The 23,783-nt window shown below is 48.7% G+C and overlaps 1 protein-coding gene across 6 annotated transcripts in view, besides 2 other annotated features; it reads left to right on the top strand.

The window, feature by feature from the left end:
- ATP2B2 (ATPase plasma membrane Ca2+ transporting 2) overlaps positions 1 to 23,783 on the top strand; it is a 384,094-nt gene that overhangs the window by 105,335 nt on the left and 254,976 nt on the right. The gene's annotated exons all lie outside the window — the stretch shown is intronic.
- Positions 1,469 to 1,970: an enhancer, noted in NCBI's record as "H3K27ac hESC enhancer chr3:10642497-10642998 (GRCh37/hg19 assembly coordinates)". NCBI's record gives its function as "activates a minimal SCP1, AML or CMV promoter by ChIP-STARR-seq in naive H9 embryonic stem cells {active_cell/tissue: H9 hESC(naive)}" and the evidence as "EXISTENCE:reporter gene assay evidence [ECO:0000049][PMID:30033119]".
- Positions 5,160 to 5,720: an enhancer, noted in NCBI's record as "H3K4me1 hESC enhancer chr3:10638747-10639307 (GRCh37/hg19 assembly coordinates)". NCBI's record gives its function as "activates a minimal SCP1, AML or CMV promoter by ChIP-STARR-seq in primed H9 embryonic stem cells {active_cell/tissue: H9 hESC(primed)}" and the evidence as "EXISTENCE:reporter gene assay evidence [ECO:0000049][PMID:30033119]".

Genomic DNA, 23,783 nt, shown 5'->3' with positions numbered 1-23,783 from the left:
CCATGTCAGTTTCCCTCCAACTTCAGTCATTTGTTTTTATCTGTAAACAACCCACGCGATTACCCATTTAGTCTTGTTTTCATCAGTTCACCATTTTACCTGATTATGTTCTCTTTAAAAGAAACTTTTTAATGCAATTAAGTGGTTTATAATATCGCTTGTCATCAACAGGAGCTAAGCATTAAAATAAATACAAAGAAATAAAAATCATCCTATGATTAAATTCCACCTCGCTGCCGCTGCCTGAGTTCTGCTCTGTGTCTCTCTGTTAGGAGGGAGAAGGTCAGAGGTGTTCAAGGCACATTAACCCTGAGCCAGTTCTTTTCTCCCTGAGACAACCTCCCAAGAATGAAAGGATGCAGGCACCATGTCCTGACTGTGTGGCCTGAAATCCCTTCTCTGAGCATCATGGTCTAAGGACACACTCTGTGGAAAGCGAGGGCCAGCCGTCATCTTAGAAACTTCCACAACGGCAGAGTCTGGGAAAGTCCCGGGATGTGAGCAGCCTGACAAGGAGAAAAAAGGGGGTGAAGAGTGGGTGGGATTCCAGAACAGACCCCCACATTCTGTGACCAAAGGAGTGAGAATTTTTCAGTGCTTTCTCCATTTTGATGAGGGCAGGGAGGGGGCAGAGGCCAGGGCAGGAAGTGGGGAGGGGGCTCCGAGGGGGCTTCAACCCAGCACTGCCTCTGGCTGCCAGGAGAGCCGCTGGAGCCTCAGCTCTTCCTCTGCAGGCGCGGGGAGGACATCCTGGGCCTTCTTCACCACTGGGCCTCAGGTTGTCCAGGGTCACGTTCAGGGTTAGGCAGCCTGGATCCCTTTAATCCCATATTAATGAATTATGTGCCCAAGAGCAGGCTTAGCTGGGGGGAAATGAAGACAAATAAGAAAGAGGGTAGGGAGGAGGGCCATGGCTGGAAGGGACTTGGGGGATGGCTCCTAGTGGGGCTCCCCTCAGCCCTGAACTCCAGGGGCCTCCATTTGGGCCCTGCCCAAGTTCTAAGGTGTGGGTCTCCCCCATAGCTCTTGCTGATGTCAGGTGTGAGCTGCTGTGTGTACATGCAGGCTCCTGGGCGTTCCCCTCCCCGGGGTCCTTCCCTGCCAGGCTCTGGTGAGCCACCAGTCTTAATGAGGAGGTGCCTGGGGGAAGACTGGGAGCCAGATATGTACTAAATGACTGAGACAGACAGAGAATGCTAGGTTGAACAGGTCTTAGAGACCTTCTGACTCACTGTTCCTCCACAATCAGGGGTTCAAATTATGACCTCCATTTATAAATGAGGTAACCGAGGCCCAGCAAGGGGAGACTCTCACAGCCAGCCTGGGGCACAGCCAGGCCAGATCCAAGGCCTCTGACTCAGGCAAGGCCTCCCTCCCCGTGTTATTCCTCCACTCAGGGGGTTGAGGCTGAATAAGCCACAATTGGAGCCTGTCCCAGGGACCAGCCAGTGGCTGCCCCCCTTATTATGGGCCCAGGACTCAGGGTATGACCGAACTGGACTCCTCTGTGCCAATTCTGAGTGTTCCTGGAGTGTCCTGGCTCACGCTGGGCACCAATCATGGCCTCTGGGGACTCCTTCTTCTTTTTTGCCTAGAGAGTGGCCACTCTCCTGCCCTTTACCACACTTGGCACACTATCCCCTCTGTCCTCAGAGATTCTTGAGAGATCTCAGCAGGGCAAGCCCGCAAGGCCGGACCTGGTGCACAGTAGGCTCACAGACCCACAGGGGTCTCCTGGCTGGCACCCTGTGCTTCCTGGTTTTGTAGGCTCCGAGAATGTCCAGGTATTGGAAGCTGGGGTGTTGCTGGGTGGTGAGTCACAACCATACACCCGACCTCTTTCCCAGGGACTTCTTAGTCTTGCCCTGCCCCAAACACTTCATCTGGGCTTTTGCCTGACCGCCATGTGTTTTCTATGGTCAACCCCCTCATTCCAGCTCATCTCCCTCCCCATGCCCTCACTCAGCCCTCTGCAGGGAGGGAAAAGGTTGGTTTTCTGGGAAGCAAGGTGAGTGATCCCCAGGTGCCCTCAGGACAGTTGCAGGCAGGCTCTCAACTGGGCAGAGGGCCCCTGTGCAAGCCAGAGTCAGCACTGCCGGGCCAGGGGCAGGGAGGGGGCGGCAGATCCCACTGATTAGGAACCAGAGCACCAGCCCCGTCTGGAGTTTGAAACCAGAGGCTTGTGAGTAAATCCACGGCCAATGCCTGTAAGCAGAGCCAGTTCTCGCCGTGAAAGGGCCTTTTGTTTTACCCCATGGTTCCTGGGTGAACTGTGATTCCATTTTAATTAAATATGCAGCTGCTAGGGCTGAGCAAGCTGCCCTCACCCTCAGCTCCAGGCTGGTAGGGGGAGATGACATAGGGTAGATGGAAGTCCGATGTCTGGACTCTGTCCAGCCAGAAAATGGTGAGCAAGGGGCGGGCACAGAGCCTGGGGGCAGGTGACTGGCTGCCAGTCAGCAATGGGTTACTACTCAGTGTGGAGGAATCCACTCTGTAAGGTGCCAGCTCTCCTTGGGCATCCAGTTAACGGCACTTCTGGGGACACACTTGGGAAATGAAACCCCTAGGCCAAGAGAAAGATATTTTCTGATTTTACACAGGCCCAGCAGGGGCTCAGGGCAGAGCTAGTAGAGGGCAGTGCAGGGGTGTGGCCCCCATGGCCCCCCACCAGCCCCAGCCCCTCTGCTCTCCAATACTGTGCTCCTACCACCTGGTGGTTTCTTGCACAGAAATGGTGCACTGTTCAGCAAGGCGGTACAGATGAAACTCTGAATTGAAAGGCCTGTGGGAAAGCCTAGCACAAGCTACCTCTCCCACCTTCCCCTTGGTTCTGTGTTATCTCAAATGTCTTCTTCTCAAAGAAGCCCTCCAGAATCCAGGTAATCGCCTTCCACCCCACGTACTACGTTCCTCCTCCATCAAAAATGATCTTGTTTATCCATTTGAATTCTTGCCTGCCGCCCCACCCCCCACCCCCTTATAGAACACGAGCTCCATTCCATGAGCACAGGGCTTTATTTTTCTCATGCAGTTCTGGCACAGATCACGTACTCAGTCACGGTTGAATGAATACACTTAGGTAATACGTGGGGGCAAAGACTCCACCTAAAAATGTGACCTAATTTCATGGTGTCAAAGTCCACTGTGAACTCCACGTTGCTGGAGCTTGTCCAGTTGGGAGAGGTTCCCTGAGCCCCTGTCAGATTCGGTGGCGGGCCCATGCTGGACAGTGCTGAGGGTACAGAAATGAAGCTGGCGCCATGCCTGCCCTCCAGGGGCTCTCAATCCAGGTGAAAGACATTAAATTAGAGTGCACTGGGAGAACAAGGTGATGTGGGGGCTGGAGGGAGCCCCTGCAGGGAGGGGAAAGCTTCCTAGTGAAGAGGAGGGTCCGGGAGCATGAGCAGGAGTCTACCTGGGACAGAAGAGCCAAAGGTGGAGTGCTCAGGAGGGCGAGGCCAATTCTGGGAACCAATGGCGAGAAGCAGTGGAAACAGGTGAAGCCCAGGGGTGTGGGGTAGGCGGAGACCTGTCAAACCCACACCCAGCCTCCAGATTTTGTTCTGAAGGCCGTGGGTAGCTACTGAAGGTTATTCAGCAGGGGCAGGGAGCTGCCTGAGCTACATGTTTGAGTCTCCTCTGCTAGCCTCACAGAGTGTGGACTAAGGCCCCAGGGATTCAGGGCTTGCTTCCGCTCCCCCTGGGAAAATGGAATATGATCCTGGGCACTGGGTCCCTCTCTGAAGCCAATTGTTACTGCAGGCCTGGGCAGAGGGCCGGGGCAGTAACACAGGGCAGGTGGGATCACTTACCTGTTATCAGATATGCTTTTCCCTGAAGGGGATAAAATAAACGTCTTATTAGATCCATGGCTGAGAGAACAGGTGCCACATCTGTGTCCTCTTGGTGTGTGCTCCAGGCCGGGGACTGCATGCAGGTCATCAACCCTGCTCAGTTGTTTCTAGGATTGAGAAGCTACCTTGGAAATGCCCTCCTCTTGGTTAAATGCATTTATGCAGTCAATCAGCAAACATTTATTCCGTGCAGACTCAGGTTTCCATGTGTTTGCTCGCTTCCTTGTTTACTTTGATCTACTCAACCAGAGATACTCCTAGAGCTTAAGTAGGTGTGGGGAGTGCAGGGATGAAAGCTCAAAGGTAAGAAGCCGTCTAGAGTAAGTTGTGGAGGAAGTTGAGGGTCATTCATTTTAAATCCCTGTAGCCTCAGGGTGGCATTCTCTTTTTCTCAGGAGCGTGCATGGTTGGGAGGCGTAGAAGCCACACTTCTTTGTATTCCCTCCAAATTTTGTCACTTAAGAACACAAAGCTTGTGACATTAGGCTACATGTATAACTTGTGTCATCCTTCTTAATCTTGGTAACAACCAATGAAAGTACTGTAATTACCTCCACTTCACAGGTGAGTAAACTGAGGCACAGTTGACGTTAAGCCATTTGCTCAAGGGCACACAGTTTGGAAGCAGAGAAACTGGAATTTGAACCCAGGGACTCTGGCCCTTACATCCTGTTTTTAATCACTACGGAGTTACCACGTTCTTCACATACCCCTGCAGCAAGCTTCATTTACCTCAAATTATGCTCAGTTCACTTCTTTGTGAGGCCTTTCTGGAATACCTCTCAGAGAATCCTGTCCCTTCCCTGAATTCCCATGAGACTTTTGTGTTCTGAGGGGTCTTTTCCCGTTTGTCTCATCACTTACCTTCCCCTGATATCTGCCTTTGAGCAGAAACTGTGTTGTCCATGTTCCTGCCCCCCAGTAGCCCAACTTGGAGTTTAATCCAGCATCCTGTTCAAATCGGCTCCCGAAATGTGATGTTTACCCAATAGATGATGTCATCTTCCAATTTAATCCTTGTCATGTCCTTTTGAGGGGTGGTAGCTTGAGGGCCATTTAACAGAGGAGGTGACCAAGGCTCAAAGGCTTCAGGACGATGGCAACAATAAAAAACAAACTGCAGCAGCTGAAATGTATGTAGAGTTTACTTATATGCAATAGATACTATTATTGTTGTTTTCTTTCAGCAAATGTGGAAACTGAGGCACAGAGCTTTGCCATAAGTTATCAGAGGTCACAGCTAGCAAGAGGTAGAACCGAGATTCAAACCCACTAAGTCTGGCTCCAGACCTGACATTCTGAACCATTTCACTCAGCTGCCACACAGCTGGCTATAGGGGTGAGGGGGCACTTGGCAAATATTTGGGGATGGCTTGATGGCCAGTTACTCGTCCCTCCTTTAGCTCTGCTCGTGGTTTCCTCCTTCTTTCCTTCTTAACCTAGGGGCTCCTCCTAACTTCCCTGCCATGCCTGCAACTCCCTGTAGAAGGGGCCGATGGAAGTCCTGAGACACTGTGCCTGTGTGTGTGCCTCTGTGCCTGTGTGTATGTGCCTCTGTGTGTGTGTGCCTAGGTGCCTGTGCCTGTGTGTGTGCCTGTGTGTGTGCCTATGTGTCTGTGTGTCTGTGCCTGTGTGTGTGTACCTGTGTGTGTGCCTGTGCCTGTGTCTGTGTGTGTGCCTGTGGGTATGTGCCTCTGTGTGTGTGTGCCTAGGTTCCTGTGCCTGTGTGTGTATGTCTGTGTGCCTGTGCCTGTGTGCGTGCCTGTGTGTATGTGCCTGTGTGTACCTGTTTGCCTGTGCATGTGTGTGTGCGTGTATGTGTGACTGTGCCTGTGTGCCTGTGTGTGTGTGTGTGTGTGTGGCCCTGTGTGTGTGCGCACCTGTGTGTGTCTGGGTGTGTGCCTGTGTGCGTGTGTGCCTGTGTGCGTGTGCACCTGCGTGTGCGTGTGCCTGTGTGTGTGCACGCGTACTCGCCTGTGGTGTGCCACGTGCCCTGGTTTGCTAAGAATTCCTCATAGAGAGTGTGCCTGGGGGAAGCCACACACATCAGAGCTCTCTCTGGCTCCCTGCAGCCTCCTTCGTTTGGGAAAGATTTTCTTGACTGTGTGTTTCTCCCATCCCTGAGCTGCTGCTGGCAGCTGGCTGTAGAGTTTTCATCTTAAAGGACAGAGAGAAGTGGCCCTTCAGAATAATTTGAGCCCCTCTTCAGGAAACCCTGGTTCTCTTTTGAAACTAAGCCAGGGAGGAGCAAACGCCAAGGAATTCACAATCCTGTCTGGGACTTTCTGTTTTCCTCTTTGAAGAAATATGAGCTTTTTTGATTGCTACTAAAGTGATGCTTAACCGTTCTACAGTGACAGCTTCTCCCTCTGCATCTGTTATATGGGGCATGCTACTAAAAATGTTCTAAGAACTTTGATTTCAAAGCCTTGGCATCTCCCTTGAAGAAATCAGAGACACATTGAAGACATGCAAAATTAAATTTGTGGTCACTGCATGAGACCGGTTACGAAGTTCATTCCTTCAGCAAACATTTATTAAGTGTCTACACTGCACATGATGCTGGAAAGACAGTGATGTTCATACCCACAGAGTCCCTGCCCTCATAGAACTTTGGTTCTAAATAGGAGAGAAAGAAAATGCACTACTAAATCAACTCAGTTGTTTCAGTTTGCCATGAACAGATCCCTCCCACCTCGACCTGGAAGCCATTGAAGGGCTGGGGTCTTCTGCTTTAAATGGGTCTTTAAGGTGCTGGCAGGCGTCTGTGCTGGGAAGGATAAAGAGCAAGGTTGATGTGGTTTAGTGAACAGAGGCTACTTAGCTTGGGTAGTCAGGGAGGGCCTCTCTGCAGAGGGGACCTTTGAGCTGAGAGCTGAGTGACAAGCGGGCAGCTTACAAAGATCTGAGAGGAGAGAATTCCAGGCAGAGGACCCAGTCAGTGAAAAGTGCCAAGTTGGGAATGAACGTGGTGGGTTCGAGGAGCAGCAGGGAGCTTGATGTGGCTAGAGTATGGTGCTCAAAGGGGACAGCAATAAGAGACGAGGTCAGATTGCTGGGCAGGGGTCAGTTCACATAGAGCCTTGTAGGCTATGGAAAGGAGTTTGGATTTTATTCCATTAAGCAATCTTCATTTGTGTCGATTAACAAATGATGTTTGAATCCTGAAAATGTGATGGAGTATGGTCATATTTACAGGTGGCTCTCAAAACAAAATTTCCAAGCATCAAGTAAACATAATTAAGATAAATGTAATATGCTTAATGGAAGCGCAATGTGGTCTGTTTATATGAGATGTGGCAACTTGGTATAATGATCACCAGGGTTTAAGTTTCAGCTCTGAGATTTCTTAGCTGTGTGACTTTGGACAGGTCATCTACTATTTTTGAGCCTCTGTTTCCTTATCTGCACCGTGAGGGTAATAGTTTATTTACAGGGCTGTTGTGAAGATGGAAAATGATAATGCCACAAATAATTATTTTATAAACTGGTGGGATGGAGCTGGAAACGTGTATTATTCCACTGAGAACTCTTCACTAAGGTACACCTTACTAATTAGGACCTTAGATTGCACCTAGAAGAGGAGATGCCCACTGGAATATCTAAGAAGACTAACACCCCGCTTCATGACCTGAGAACCTCCAGCACGCCTCCTTCCCCAAAAGGCCCCCAGACATCTGACAGTGTCCTGTAACTAAAGGCCCACTTACAGCAGCAGATGCTAGCCCTTCAACGGCTTCCGGGTTGGAGTGGGAGGGATCTGTCCAGTGTGGGCCTATGAGAATCTAGGAATGCACTGCGGTCAGCATCCTGGAGCCAATCAACTCAGAGGCACCTGGAGCTATCCAAGGTCCTGATCAGCTGGGGGCTCCCGAAATATTGCAGTTAACTTTGAATTGGTCTGTCTCCGATTGCATTGGTCTTCGAATTGATGGTGGTTGCTGCATCTGGACTGAGTGTGAGTATCTGGGAAAATAACTGCATTTGATATCAGGCAGACCTAAGTTAAAACCTCTAACCAGCTGGTGACCTTAACCGCTTACGCCTCCATTTCCTCATCTATAAAATGGGGGTGATGATACCTCTTTCTTTTTGCCTGTGTGGATTAATGAGCTAAAAAATTGAAGTAATCTAATAAAATGCCAGACAAATATAGATGCTAATTAAATAGACGTGTTTCTTTTATTATTATTATTATTATTATTATTATTATACTTTAAGTTCTAGGGTACATGTGCACAACGTGCAGGTTTGTTACATATGTATACATGTGCCATGTTGGTGTGCTGCACCCATTAACTCGTCATTTACATTAGGTATATCGCCTAATGCTATCCCTCCCCCCTCCCCCCACCCCACAACAGGCCCCGGTGTGTGATGTCCCCCTTCCTGTGTCCAAGTGTTCTCATTGTTCAATTCCCACCTGTGAGTGAGAACATGCAATGTTTGGTTTTTTGTCCTTGCGATAGTTTGCTGGGAATGATGGTTTCCAGCTTCATCCATGTCCCTACAAAGGACATGAACTCATCATTTTTTATGGCTGCATAGTATTCCATGGTGTATATGTGCCACGTTTTCTTAATCCAGCCTATCATTTTTGGGCATTTGGGTTGGTTCCAAGTCTTTGCTATTGTGAATAGTGCCACAATAAATGTAAGTGTGCATGTGTCTTTAGAGCAGCATGATTTATAATCTTTTGGGTATATACCCAGTAATGGGATGGCTGGGTCAAATGGTATTTCTAGTTCTAGATCCCTGAGGAATCACCACACTGTCTTCCACAATGGTTGAACCAGTTTACACTCCCACCAACAGTGTAAAAGTGTTCCTATTTCTCCACATCCTCTCCAGCATCTGTTGTTTCCTGACTTTTTAATGAACGCCATTCTAACTGGTGTGAGATGGTATCTCATTGTGGTTTTGATTTGCATTTCTCTGATGGCCAGTGATGATGAGCATTTTTTCATGTGTCTGTTGGCTGCATAAATGTCTTCTTTTGAGAAGTGTCTGTTCATATCCTCCGCCCACTTGTTGATGGAGTTGTTTGGTTTTTTTTCTTGTAAATTTGTTTGAGTTCTTTGTAGATTCTGGGTATTAGCCCTTTGTCAGATGAGTAGATTGCAAAAATTTTCTCCCATTCTGTAGGTTGCCTGTTCACTCTGACGGTAGTTTCTTTTGCTGTGCAGAAGTTCTTTAGTTTAATTAGATCCCATTTGTCAATTTTGGCTTTTGTTGCCATTGCTTTTGGAGTTTTAGACATGAAGTCCTTGCCCATGCCTATGTCCTGAATGGTATTGCCTAGGTTTTCTTCTAGGGTTTTTATGGTTTTAGGTCTAACATTTAAGTCTTTAATCCATCTTGAATTAATTTTTGTATAAGGTGTAAGGAAGGGATCCAGTTTCAGCTTTCTACATATGGCTAGCCAGTTTTCCCAGCACCATTTGTTAAGTAGGGAATCAAATAGACATGTTTCTGCACAGACAGTCAACTCTCAGAGACAGCCTGTTCTAGGCCGGGGTATTGGTAATGAGAGCATGGACTCTGGAGTCCCTCAAACCTAGTTCAAATTCCAGCTCTGTTTTCTCATGGCTGTGAATGACTTAACCACCCTAAGACTCAGTTTTTCATCTGTGAAATTGGGCTAATACTGCAGACTTAGTAGGGTTTAAGAACTAGAATTTAGTAAGTGCCCAATGGAGACTTATGGATTTTGATTTATTTTTCAGGTGACCTTCCCTTTCATTTTCTTTTAAAAATAGAATTGAATTTGAAATCCATCTCTAACCTGATAGCAGGTTTATGATGCTTCCCTGAGACCCATTAGAAGAGATAGCAAATGGGCTGGGCGTGGTGGTTCACGCCTGTATTCCCAGCACTTTGGGAGGTCAAGGCAGGTGGATTGCTTGAGCCCAGAAGTTTGGGACAAGTCTGGGCAACATGGAAAAACCTCATCTCTACAAAAATTACAAAAATTAGCCAGGCGTGGTGGTGGTGCATACCTGTAGTCCCAGCTACTCAGGAGGCTGAGGTGGGAGGATTGATTGAGCCCAGGAGGTCGAGGCTGCAGTGAGCCATGATTGTGCCACTGCACTCCAGCCTGGGCAACAGAGCTAGATCCTGTCCCAAAAAAAGTTGGGAGAGGGGACAGTAAATGGAAGCAAACAGTCATATTCCAGGGTGGCAGTGGGAAATGAAATGAAAACTAACTTGTGTTTGGGTTGAGCAGACAGGGCCACTGTGGGAGCACCATCACTCTCAGGAGAGGTGGAAGTGGTGTGGCCGTGGGTGTTTCATGTTCATGATTACAAGACAAAGATCCATTCTTAGAAGGGACAAGGCCCTGGAGATATGGGAGGAAAAAAAATGTCTGCAAGGTTTATTACTCAAGTTTCCATTTTCAAGGGGAAATAAGAAGGACATTCTGGGCCTTTGCATGCCTGGAACTTTTCCAACAGAAAAGCACAAACCTGGGATGGGCAGAGTCTCTGTGGGGCAGAGAGGAAGGGCCATGGGTGTGGGAGTCCCCCAGGCTTGGCCTCTGATCCCTGCTCCACCACATAGGTGAGTGACTTTATTTATGTTTGACTTATAATTATACATAATTTCAAACATATTGAAAAAATCTTGTCAAATCTCTCTGCCATCCACTTCCCTTCTTTTTGTATTATTTGCCTCTATTGAGTATTCACTCAATACTATTAAGTATTCACCTCTCTTAGTCCTGGCCTCCTAAGCTGAAAATCAGGGATGATAGAGATACTGAAAGCACTAGGAAGATGCAGGAAGAGAAGGATCAAGTCCTTACCATGGCTGTTCTCCATATCTGTGAGTTCCTTCTTCTTCCCAACCTTCCACATGGTTGAGCCCTGGACCAGTGCAGGCCTCAGATCTCCTTCTCCACCTTGAGGTCCTCTGATCTGCTTCCTGCTCAAATTTGGCCTCTGCATGCACACCCACCTTCTAGAACTTGACCCCTATTAATTCTAGATGCCCCTTACCTTTGGGTATCTTGTCTCAGTCCCTGTGGTCTGCCCTGATCCCTGGCTGATGAAGATGCCCTGGAATTGAAGGTCAGGAATTGAAGGTCAGGAAACATGGATTTCTATGGCACTACTTAAATGGCCTTCAGCAGTGCAAGCCTAAGCTCCCTCGTCTGGGATCGGACCAATTTGGTGTTATAAAGTGCTTTCCAAACTTGAACCATCGAGGCTGTTAGAATTCTTGGCATTATAGTTATTCATCCCTTTTGAAGCAAGCATTATAGGAGAGGATTACAGCCATTGAGGAAAACAGAAATTGAGCAATAAGAGAAGCTGAGATCAAGGAAAGGCGTGTTTTTAAGACAGGTGAGCACATGCCATGCTTGGAAGTGGTGGATCCATGGATCCACTGAGTGATCCAGTGGAGAGGAGCATGAGGGGTGATTTGAGGGGGAGAGAGCAGGGCGCCACAGTGGTGAGCTCTGTGCAAGGCTTTGCTCTCAGTGACCTCTGGCCTCAGAGGCCATGGGGGTCAGCTAGTGTGTTTGAACCTGATCATTAAATCAGCAGGACCATTGGAGAGTTTTGAGCATGGGGTTGGTGCCTGCTGTATGGAGGACAGATTGATGAGGGCAAGTCCACTTGAGGAGGCCCACAGAGTGCGTTGTGGAACATGCAAGTGAAGGGGGCTGTGTGTGCACTGCACTGAATCCCCAGTGCCTGCATGGACTAATGAGTCAATTACACATTCACAGAAGACCTGTTTACAGTGCCTCAGGGACGTCTACTGGGGAGGGCCATTCATGGTGGAAAATCCAAGACATCTTCCTCTCAGAAGGGTGAGTTGACTTAGGGGTCACCAGCACTGTAGTTATTCCAGTTGTAGGCAAGCAGGGGATTGCTGAGATAAAGCGCATGTAGACCAGGAGTTATAAGCTCACATACCTACAGGGACAGGGCACGGGGACAAGAAGGTGCTTTGGAGCCTTCAGTAGGAAGTCCTCACCTGGTGTCACCACTCCCCAGCTTGTAAAGTGTGGGGACTAGGAGGTCAGGGAGCCCAGGAGCTGAGCCTTGTGTCAGTGGACATGAACAGCTGGCCTTTGAAACTTGGTCCTCAGTTCCCAAGTCTTGAAGGCACATGCACGGGTGCACATGCTTCAGGCTCTTCCTCCACGCTGATGTTGTGAGCACAACTGGCCTCCTTCCTCTTCAAGGGTTTTATTAGGCAGGGAGAGTGCCTTGGGGCAGGAGAACCCACAGAAATCCATTGCTCCCATGGCCCTGGGTGGCCACTGAGAGCAGTCTTCCACTAAGAACGACGCAGAGTGAATCCAAGAGCAGCTGTGCCTCTTTCTTCACATTGGAGGGGAAAGGCTGGGCTGTCATGCAGGGGAGGCAGGCACCTGCCAGCCCTAGGCAACCCACAGGAGGAAGAAATGGCCCAGGAGGTGGCCCTGGAGCCTTCAGCGAGGCTGAAGGACACTCTAGAAGGCTTTTGTTCTATTTTTTAAAATTAAGAAATAATTTTCATACAGTAAAACATACTTTTAGCGTACAGGTCTGTGAATTCTGACAAATGCATACAGTTGTATAACTACCACCCTAATCAAGGCACAGAGCAGTTCCATTACCCCCCAAATTTACCCCTCGTCACTTTGTGGTCAACCCTTTTCCCTCCTCCAAATCCCTGGCAACCACTGATTTACAGATTTGCCTTTTCCATAATACCATTGAAAAATTGAATCATATCAAAAATCATATCATATCAATGTAAGCTTTGGGCCTTCCTTCTGTCAACACAGTGGCTGGAGATCCAATTGCATGTATCATAGTCCCTTGCTTTTTCTTGCTGAGTAGCGTCCATGGGAGGGATGCACCAGAGGTAGTTTATCCATTCATCTCATCGTCCATTGAGAGACATTAGGATTGTTTTCAGTTTGGGGAAATGATGAATAGAGACACTTTATTTTTTTGTTTGAAATAAGTTTTTGTTTCTTTTGGGTAAATGCCTAGGGGTGGGGTTGCTGAATTATGTGGTAGGTTTATGTCACACCTTATAAGAAACTGCACAAACTCTTTTTCAGAGTAGGCATTGCGATTTTACTTTCCCACCAGCAGCAGATGAGAGCTCCAGTGGTTCCACATCCTCACCCACACTTGGGATTGTTGGCAGTGTTTATTCGTTCTCATTATTACTTTAGCCATTCTGACAGGTGTTAGGAACTTTACTAAGTACCTCACAAGTGCTGGGCACTGAACTAAGTGCTCTTTGCACATGATTTCATCAAGGGCTGGGTCTATGATCCCATTTGGAAAACTGAGGCCCACAAGAGTTTCTGAGATCCTGTGGGACAAGGGCTGGTCCTGTGTTTGGAAACTTGATTGCCTGATCCAAAGCAGACCCTGTCCCACAGCGCCATTCTTCAGGGACAGCATTAACATATACTTGCATCGCAGCGGAACTGCGTTTGGCAACAGGCTCATCTCTTCCAGTGTTCTAACACGCTTCTCAGCACAACCATTTCTACCCTGTCTCCTCTGGTGGTCTGTAAGCCCTCTTTGGGGCTGTACCTTAGTCATCTCTATATCTCCAGGCCTGGGAAACACTCAACAAAAGTTTACTAATGAACTTACTAATGAGCAAGCCTGTAGAGAGACCAAATCCTATAGTGGGTCTCTAGCCTTCTAGGACTCTGACAGCCTCTCTGGGCCACTCCATTTATCCCCTAGAGTGGGGATGGGCAAATGGGAGTGGCTGGAGTTCAGGAGGACCAGGCCATGTGTTGCTCTGCCAGCAAGATCTCAAAGGAGGCCCACCCTGACCCATCCCCACCTACAGGTCCAGGTCCTCCCAGTGACTGGAGTCCCAGAGTCAGATGCATCCCTACCCAGGTGTGTGAACTTTGTCCCCTTCTTGCCGCCCGCCCAGTTTATGCCCTTAAAAGATGTCGGGATCTGGGAACCTTGATACCAGCCCCAGATTCCTCCTAATATCTAACACACAGGCTCACGCAGCACTGCCAGCCGCAGACAACTCTCTTTGAATCCAGATGGACTTAAATATAAAAGGGAGGCTATTTCCAGTTGGATCTATTTCTAGTTCTTTTCTTCTTGAATTTCCAGTCACTTAACCTCTCTGAGCCACACTTTCTTCGTCTGTAAAAATGGGCATAAAAAGCATCTCTACCTCTTAAGATTGTGGTAGAGACTCCGTGAAATAGTGCCCGTCAATCACTCAGCAAGGGAGCCCCAGAGGAAGTGCTGAGTGGGTGCTGGGTGAGAGATACGTGGGTTGAGATCCTTTCCTCCAGAGATCCATGCTTCCCTCCATTCTGGTGGATACTGGTGGAGTCAGGCTGGATGATGCCGGCCCAGAGATAGGCAGAGGAGGTGATGTGCTCTTGTTTTTGCCTTTGAAGCAGAGTCAGGTGTATGGCCTCAGTGCCCGGCCGTGGAACTGCTGCTGTGAATTGTGGACCAGGTTGCCATCAGAAGGCATCTAGGGATGTGGAAGGGGTTCACAAATATTGGTGAGTGCCCACTGCTGGGCACTCAAGACAGCATACAGTATGACTGATCCTTTACAAATATTCCCTCTCCTCCTCTAGACCAGCAAGTCTCAATAAGGTGACTTTTGCCCACCCTTACCCCTAGGGACATTTGGCAATGTCTAGAGACATTTGACCATCATGACTAGAGAGGTGCTGCTGGCATCCAGCGAGTAAAGGCCAACGCACAGGGCAGCCCCATATCAAGAATTTTCTAGCCCTAAATGTCAACTGCACAGTAAGATCCCAGTGCTGAGCACAGCACCTGAAATACGGTGAACATGTGATAACTAATATTTGAATGAATGAATTTGCAAAAATACATTCTATCCATGAATAAGTAAAATCCACGAGAGAATACTCCTCAGTGTACTAGTGGCACGGGGAAATTGCTGAAGGTTCTTATTTTCCTCTTTTTTAAAAATTCTCACTATGGATTTGTATTGCTTATATAATAAAACTTTTATTTAAAGGAGGAAAACTCAGAATAACATTAGGAAGACATAAAATGTGAACTGAGTATATACAGCAACCAAATTCATTCACTTAACCAATATTATTGATCTCTGGCTATTTGCCAGCCTTGTTTCTACGCACTAAGAGCATGACAGTGAGAAACAAACAAACAAACAAACAAACAAACAAAAAAACCAGAAACACTTGCTTTCTTGGAGCTTATGTTCTAGCAAAAGAAGACAATGAAGAATTAAACTAGGCCCAGCGCGGTGGCTCATGCCTGTAATCCCTGCACTTTGGAAGGCCAAGGCAGGTAGATCACTTGAGGTCAAGTGTTCGAGATCAGCCTGGCCAACATGGTGAGACCCTCTCTCTACTAAAAATACAAAAATTAGCTGGGTGTGGTGGCATGCACCTGTAATCCCAGCTACTCAGGAGGCTGAGGCAGGAGATTCACTTGAACCAGGGAGGCAAAGGTTCAAGATCGAACCACTGCACTCCAGCCTGGGTGACAGTGTGAGATTCTGTTTCAAAAAATAAATAAATAAAAATAAATTAATTAAATAAAACAACTAAACAACCCTGTCTCTTTATATATATACATATATATTGAGACATATATACATATATATTGAGACAGGGTCTCATTTTGTCACCCAGGCTGGAGTGCAGGGGTATGATCACGGCTCACTGCACTCTGGACCTCCTGGGCTCAGCTGGTTCTCCCACCTCAGGCTCCTTAGTAGCTGGGACTACAGATATGTGCCACCACACACAGCTAATTTTTTGTTTTGTTTTTGTTTTTTTGTAGCTATGGGGTTTTGCCGTGTTGCCCAGGTTGATCTCTAACTCCTGGACTCAAGCAACCTACCTGCCTTGGCATCCCAAAGTACTGGGATTACAGGCTATGATATTTATAACACAATAGATTATCTGGTGGTGCTAAGTGTGTGAGGTAAACTCACTCAAGGTCAGGGCGAGATGTGAGGCAGAGATGGGGAGGACTGTGTAGCTGGCCAGGGGAGAGCCCACTGAGGAGGTGCCATGTGAGCAGGGACCGGAGCAGAGCTGGGCAGTGGGGTGTGACAAAGGGACTCAGTCTGGATGCCACATGTGTTTAAGCAAAATGTGCACCACCTTCTCTGGAAGGTCTCCATCAAGCTTTGAGGAATGGCAGGAGTTCTTGCTTTGGAAATGCAATCCATCCAGATGCTCCCTCTCACCCCTCTGAGGAGAGGCTGGTGGCATGTTTCTAAGCTGTGCCTCCTTCTGAGAAGGGGCCAGAAGGATGCACATCCATTTAAAGATGAGATCCTCAGGGGTAAAAGCAAAGATTCTCTCGAGGAACCTCAGAGGTTCTCCCCCTGGGGAGACAGACTAGTGCCAAATCCCATCACTTCTCCTCTGCCTCACATCCCTAGTCACTCTCTCTACTGGCCTTCTTTCTGTCTCTACCACTTCCAAGCTGTGTGACTTTGGGAAGGTTGTTTAAACTTCTGAGCCTCAGTTTGCTCATCTGCAAAACGGCAAAAGTAAGATCTGCCTCTTGGGATGATGGAGACTCAGATGAGATGACCCAAGGAAAGCTCCTGGCCTGGAGCCTGGCACCTCAGGTGCTGGCAGGGTCCCCTTCCTTTCTCCTCTCCTCTGCTCCCAGCATCCTTCTCTCATCCTTGCTGATGACTTGAGCTAAGGGCCCCAGGTTACAGATGTGGGACAATGGAGTCTCCAATGCCACTTTTTTCAATCATGACAGAGCAAGGACATAACTGGGTAAAAATGATGACATCATGGCTTCGGTCAGAAGTAAACAAATACCACTATTTATCTCCTCTAAAAATATCTTTGACTAATAAAAATGACCACTAAGGGGACAGCACTATAGGATGGAACACACAGGCTGGGCAAAGGCAGGGAGAAAGTCAGTATGTCAGAAACTGTTATTGAAAACCTACTATTTGCCAGGCAAGGTTCTAGATTGGAGATAGGAGATAGCCCATGGTTAAACAGAGAGTTTGGAGAGTCTAGGTTCTCATGTAGCTTATATTCTAGTGACAGAACAGAGGGAACACGAAAGCAAATAGAGAAGTTAGTTTTGAGGGCACTACCAAACAGTGTGATGTGATGGAAAATGACGAGGGGAAAAGCATTAGGGAGGGAGGTAAGGGAAAGCCTTTGGCAGAGGAGCCCTGGAGCTGAGCTCTGAATCACAGAGGGAGGTAGACACACATCTCAGGGAACATGTTTCAGGTAGAGGGAATGGTGAGTGCAGAGGCCCCAAGCAGGAACAAACTTGCATGTTGGTGAGACAGAAAGAAGGCCAGTAGAGAGAGTGACTAGGGAAGGTGAGGCACAGGAGAAGCTGCAGAGATGGGTAGAGTCGGGTCTTGCAGGTCAGCGAATGGAGCTCTCACTGGATCTTTTTTTTTTTTTTTTTTTTTTTTCAGACGGAGTCTCGCTCTGTCGCCCAGGCTGGAGTGCAGTGGCATGATCTTGGCTCACTGCAAGTTCCGCCTCCCGGGTTCACGCCATTCTCCTGCCTCAGCCTCTGAGTAGCTGGGACTACAGGCGCCCACCATCACACCCAGCTAACTTTTTGTATTTTTAGTAGAGATGGGGTTTCACCTGGTTAGCCAGGATGGTCTCGATCTCCTGACCTCGTGATCCTCCAGCCTCGGCCTCCCAAAGCTGGGATTATAGGTGTGAGCCACCCTGCCCGGCCTCTCACTGGATCTTAATTACAGTGCAAACCATTGGAGAAGTTTGATCAGAGGTGTGGCGTGACCTGTGCTTTGGAATGATCCATCTGGCTGCTCTGTGGGATCCAGGCTACAGCAGGGCAGGTGTGTGAGCCAGAGAGAGTTGCCGGCATCCAGACCAGAGGTGATGGCAGCTTGGACCTGGGTGTGGCAGGGGAGGAGGAGGAAGAGATCCAATTCAGGATCTATTTGGAGACAGCACCAGCAAGACTTGTGGATGGGTGCAAGGCATGCAGAAACAGAGGGGTCTAAGAGAGCTTCCTGGATTTTGTCTCAACAACTGGGAAGATAGTGGCCATTTGCTAAAGTGGGAAACCCAGAGGAAGAAAAGGCTAAACCAGGTGAAATTGTGTTATGCTTGGGATGCCTGTTAGATATCCCACAGTGACACGAGTAAGCAGGTGGGTATTTGTGTGTGGAATCAGGAATGAGTGCTGGGAAGTGGTGGAGTGGGAAGTTAGGTCCTTAGCATTGCTCAGAAGTGGAAAATAATTAAGGAGTTAAGGCAGGAAGTTCAGGGAATGCAGCTTCTGCAAGCAGTGGCTGGGAGGATATTACGTGAATATCAGTCACGAGCAAAATGTCCCTTTCCCTCTGGAAAGAGCGGGCAGCTCAGCTCTGTGGACATTCGGGACTGTGACCTGTGCTTCTCCAGTACATGCAGTTCACCACCAGGTACAGAAGCGCCCATGGGTGTGAGGATGCACCTACAGAGATCCAGGGTGGCACCTGTAGAGCCTCCATGGTTGTGTGGGGACACTTGTGGGCTGGGTCAGGCCACCAGGAAGGGAACAAGAAAGTTCCCAAGGTAAAGCCCTCTCTGAACTCAAACTTCATGTCCCAGGGGATTAGCTGGACTCCAGGTGTTCCCGCTGCCTTGCAGGAAATGCCTCCATAGCCTCATCCCCTGCCTGTTCTCCTGGTCCCCATTCCTGCCAAGCTGGCCTCTGCCTCCCTCCTCTGTGTTCTTGCCTTCCCTGAGCTTTCCCGCAGCCCCTGCCTCTGCCCCCTCCCACCCCATCTCCACCTGGGCAGCTCCTGCTCTGCCTCAAGTCCAAGCGGAAAGCTCTCTTCCTCGCAAGTTTCTTTGGCTTAATAACCACCATCCCTTCAGACTGTCCCTTGCAGGAGGGCAGCGGCTGTGTCTGCCTTGCTTGCCACGATGTTCCTAGGGCCCAGCAAGCAGCAGGCACCTGGCCAGCGATTACTGCCTTGAATTTGCCAAGGAGCTGCTGTCAGGGTCCTGGGCACAGCTGCTTTGTTTGCTTTCCAGTATTTGCTGAGTTGTTTCTGATGGCGGGAGATCAGTGTCCCATGTAACTCTCTCCCAGCCCCATGACAAGACACTGAGCTTTTGCATTTGTATTGGCCCCTTGCAGTGGGAAACAGGGTGCAACCGGCAGTCAGAAGACCCAGGTCAGTCCGAACCCACCAGAGACATCCTGTTCATCCCATGACATCCTAAGGCCTCACTTTCCTCATCTGTAAATTGGGAGTCATTAATTCCCTCACAGCAGGGATTAAATGGATCACACTTGCAAAGTTGTCCTACGTTCATGAAGTATATTTAAAACAACTTGCATCTTTTGCAGTCAGCCACCTCAAATGAGAGATTCCTGAATGAAATATGCAATCAGGGCACGGATCCTAAGATCCCAGCACTCTCCCACTGGGTGAGTGAGAGAGGTCCCAGGTAAAGGATCTATACCTGCTCAGGCTAGGACAAACAGGGCTTAGGGTCAAGGAACCAGCTTTTCCTTTATAAGGCACTGTTTGGATATAGTGCAAGCTAGGTGGAATACTCCACAGGCACTTTATTGGGAGTTGGGGAAGTACTGAAAGAAATAATGTGTTCATGGGCAGGCTCTCTTGTTTTTGTTGTTCCCTAAACACTTGGACATCAACATTTCACTGCAACTGCAAGCATCACACAGAATGCAATCCTTCCAAGCCACGGGACTTCTAGGTGTCAGAGCCAAGATATCACAGCCTCTTTGCAAGGGCTTCAAGATGCTGCACAGTCTAAATCATATCATGTACTCCTTTTGCCCAACAGTTGAGCAAACCGAGGTCGTGATGACAAATGCACAAGAATCTTCTGAAAGAAAGCAAATGCAGGAAGCAGGTGCCTGATTTAAAAACAAGCAAACTTTAATTAGAGATTGAGGGCCTGCTGCTGACATGGAAGTTCAGCTGGGTTTTATGACTAGTCATTAAACATTTACTAAGTACCTACTCTGTGCTGAGCACGGTGCCAGGACAGAACTGCCAGGGTAAGCAATCTATGCTGCTGGTAGATGCAGAATGCATGGTACCAGCTGGAGCCATGTGGTGTGGCTGCCCTTGGTGTCTTGTGTGGTCTGACCTGCCTCTTTCTCCCTCTGACTCCCAGACAGTCCTCTGGTAGCCCATCACAATCCAGGGCCCTGCCCTTCTCTTAGATCACCAGGCTCAGCCCCCTCTGGGACTCTACACTTACCGTTCCCTCTGCCTCCAGCACACTTCCCAGATCTTACTGGCTCCTCCCTCTCATTCCATTCTCAGCTCAAACATCACCTTCTCTGAGGAGAGGCCCTCACTGCCCAACTGCAGACCTTCTGCCCCAACCACACGTGCAGGATTCTCTCTACCCCACTTATTTAATTTTCTCCAAAGCACATATAATTCTGCAATGATCTCGATAGTTTATTCATCTCTGTGTTCATCATCTGTCTCCCCACTGGAACGTCAGTCCGAGAGTCCATCCCTGGATGGGCACAGTGCAGGCAGGTATCAGGTGTCCCTGTGTGTTGTTGAAAGAAAGATGTAGAATGTCTCCTTGAGGACCCTCAGTCCAGAGAGAACCAGACAGAACAATGGCCGTCAACTTGGGGGTTGAATCAACAACTTGCAAGGTCTGTCTCCAACTCTCAGCCACGGATACCCTCAGCAGCCCCTGCAGCAATTCTGGCCAACACGCCCAGATCCCCGGTCCCCCCAAGAAACAACGACCCCAAAACTAAGGATTTCTCCCTGGACCTGGCTGCCACACAATGCTGCTTTGGAACAGGGAAGGTATTTTTAAATGTTCTTGCAAGCGCCAAAGTATGTCTCGTTAAAAATAAGATTTGTGTTCATTGAAATGCGGTTCAGGCTCACCTCTCTGCCTCAGTGTTAAAATTAACCACATTGTGCGCCCAGCAAATTCCGACCAGTGTGGGAATCATTTGGGGCGAAAAAGTTGGGAGCTGATATTTGCTGAACTTGGATCTTATTTGTGCTCTGTGTTTACCTAACAAATCCTTCTCTAGCACTTACTCTGTGCCAGGCACTGTTCGATCTGCTTTGCAAATATCAATGCCTTCAACCCTCACACAAGCCCATGATGCTCCCCGTTTTACAGATGAGGAAATTGAGGCTCAGAAAGTTAAATCACTTGACCAGGGTCAGATGGATTGTGCCCTTGGAGGAGTTTTTTCCAACATTTTGGCTATAGGGAAGACCTTGTTTCTAACCAGCCCTACAAAAAGCTATGCACTTTCACTTATGTCCTTTTTAGGGAATTCAGAATTCCTTGCGATGCCTAGTGAGGAATTTTCTGCAGCATTTCCCTTCTCCTCCTGCCTGTGGACTTGGCAGCCTCTTGGGACCCTGTGGATGAATCGCCCACAAACATCATTTTTGGAGTCTTTCTGCAGTTCCTCATCACTGTGGCTGTGGGCCAGCGCTCCCCGGCTGGCTCGTGCCCCTGCCTTGCCCCAGTTCTCTGGCCAACCCTTCTGGATTTCCTTTGTGGGCTCTTCCAGATCTCTCATCTTACCATCCCCACCATCCAGCTAAATCTCCTCTCCCTGAATGACTCAGCTCAGATTCTGCCTCTTCCCAGAGCCTTGTGGGGCTCCTCTGGCCCCATTTACCCTCATCTTCAGAACTTCTCTTCTCTTGCACTTGTGGAATCTACTTGCATTGTGCAAGCTAGTCCTGTTGTGTTTGCAATAGAATCTGTTGCAGAATGTGGGGACATGGCATGGTGGATTCAAATCCTGGCCCTGCTGCCTACTGGTTGCATGACCTTGGGCAAGTGCCATCATCTTTGGGCTTCAATTTCCACATCCATAAAATGGGCAGAACAGTAGTCCCCAAGCTCCTGTAGGGTTGTTGTGAAAATGTGACAAAATAATACATGTAAAGTCTCATAGCCTGTACTTAATCTATGACGGGGGTCAGCAAATTTCTGTAAGAGGCCAGATTACATATTTCAGGCCTTGCAAGTTAGATGACTTCTGTCGCAATGATTCAACTTTGCTATATAATATGTGAAAACGGCCATGGATACACACAAATGAATATGACTGTATTCAAATAAAACTTTACTTACAAGAAGCAATTGAAGCCTGATGTGGCCACAGGCTGTGGTTGGGCCAGCACCTGGTCTATGGAGAAACCTATGTGATCTCTGAAATGCTATAAAAGATCAGAGAAGAGAGAGTTCTCGCCCCACTCCCAGGCATGAAAGTTTCTGTGAAGAAGAACAAGGCGTGGGAGCAGGGAGACAGGGAGGGGGAGGCAGGGAGGAGGGGCTGCGGACAGGGATAAGGCCCAAAGATGAGGAAGCAGAGGAGGGTGGTAGGGGAGGAGCCGCACTGAGCATTTTGCAGGGGTATCGTGGGAAGGGCCGGAGGTGTCGGTTGGGACCAGGCCAAGCTGACCTTACACGCCACCCTCATCCACAGAATCACTGCTTCCTTTATGTAACAAGTATTTGCTGAGCACCTGCTCTATGCCACACACTGTTCTGTGTGCTGAGGCCACAAGAAGAGCAAGACACACAGAAACCCCTGCCCTCATAAGAGCTTCGGTTCCAGTGGAGCAGGGAAACTGAGACCCAGAGAGGCTAATGACTCCCCCAGAGTCATGTAGCTGGTACACAAGTGTTCTTTGGTTTTTAGAGTATTCCGCGTTTCCTATTGATATATTAAGATGAGCACAGGATTTGGGGTCACACTGACCAGGACTTGAGTCTCGTTCCCCTGCCATCCAGCCCTGTCACCTGTTCTGAGCCTCAGTTCCTCTGCCTATACATGGCCCGTAATCCACACTCCCCCTGTTGATGTAGGATGACCGGAAGAGTGGCTGTCAGTGGGTGGGACCTCAGCCTATCCCTGCCATTAGAGCCCCTGGATCACTGCATTCTGAATCCCTTGGGCCTCTCTGTGACCAGGGTGCTCAGAACTTCCACCTGCCAGGAGGCGTTAGAAACTTTTTTGAGCCAAATGGAGTCACTTGTGCTACATTCATGGAAGGGGAAACTGTGGGGCGGCACTTTGAGGCCCACCTTCTGGGTCTGTTTCTTTGTTTTGTTTTGTTTTGTTTTGTTTTGTTTTGTTTTCAAGACGGAGTCTCGCTCTGTTGCCCAGGCTGGAGTGCAGTGGCATGATCTCAGCTCACTGCAACCTCTGCCTGCCAGGTTCAAGTGATTCTCCTACCTCAGCCTCCCAAGTAACTGGGATTACAGGCATTCACTACCATGCCTGGCTAATTTTTGTATTTTTTAGTAGAGACAGGGTTTTGCCATTTTGGCCAGGCTGGTCTCGAACTCCTGACCTCAGGTGCTCTGCCCGCCTCGACCTCCCAAAGTGCTGGAGTTACAGGTGTGCACCACCATGCCCAGCTAATTATTGTATTTTTAGTAGAGATGGGGGTTTCACCATGTTAGCCAGGCTGCTCTTGAACTCCTGACCTCAGGGGATCTGCCTGCCTTGGCCTCCCAAAGTGCTGGGATTACAGGCGTGAGCCACCGCACTGGGCCCTTCTCAGTCTGTTTCTAAGTGAAGGGCAGCTGCACAGACCCCACCTTGGCCACTCAGGAGGCGAGCCCTGTTCTGGGCACATTTGCAGCATCATCTCCACGAGCTGCAAGCTCATTATTCCCATTTTACAGAGCAAGAAGCTGAGGCCCAAGAGAATGAGAGGTGCCTCCCCTACAAAACTTCAACTTATCTTTAGCAATCGTTGGTTGAGCATCCACTATGAGCAGGACTCATGGTCTTCTTTAGTACCATTCTCAGAACTTCCCTGGGAGGTAGGCCTGGTCCTCCCCATCCCTCCCACATGGCTTAATCTTTCTTTCTCTCATTGAGTAAAACTGCACAGTACAATGAGCAAATCTCAAGTGCACTCCTGGGTGAATTTTTACCTCTG

This window comes from Homo sapiens, chromosome 3, assembly GCF_000001405.40.
Source record: "Homo sapiens chromosome 3, GRCh38.p14 Primary Assembly".
Lineage (NCBI taxonomy): Eukaryota > Metazoa > Chordata > Mammalia > Primates > Hominidae > Homo > Homo sapiens.
This window is presented reverse-complemented; position numbering and strand designations above follow the sequence as displayed.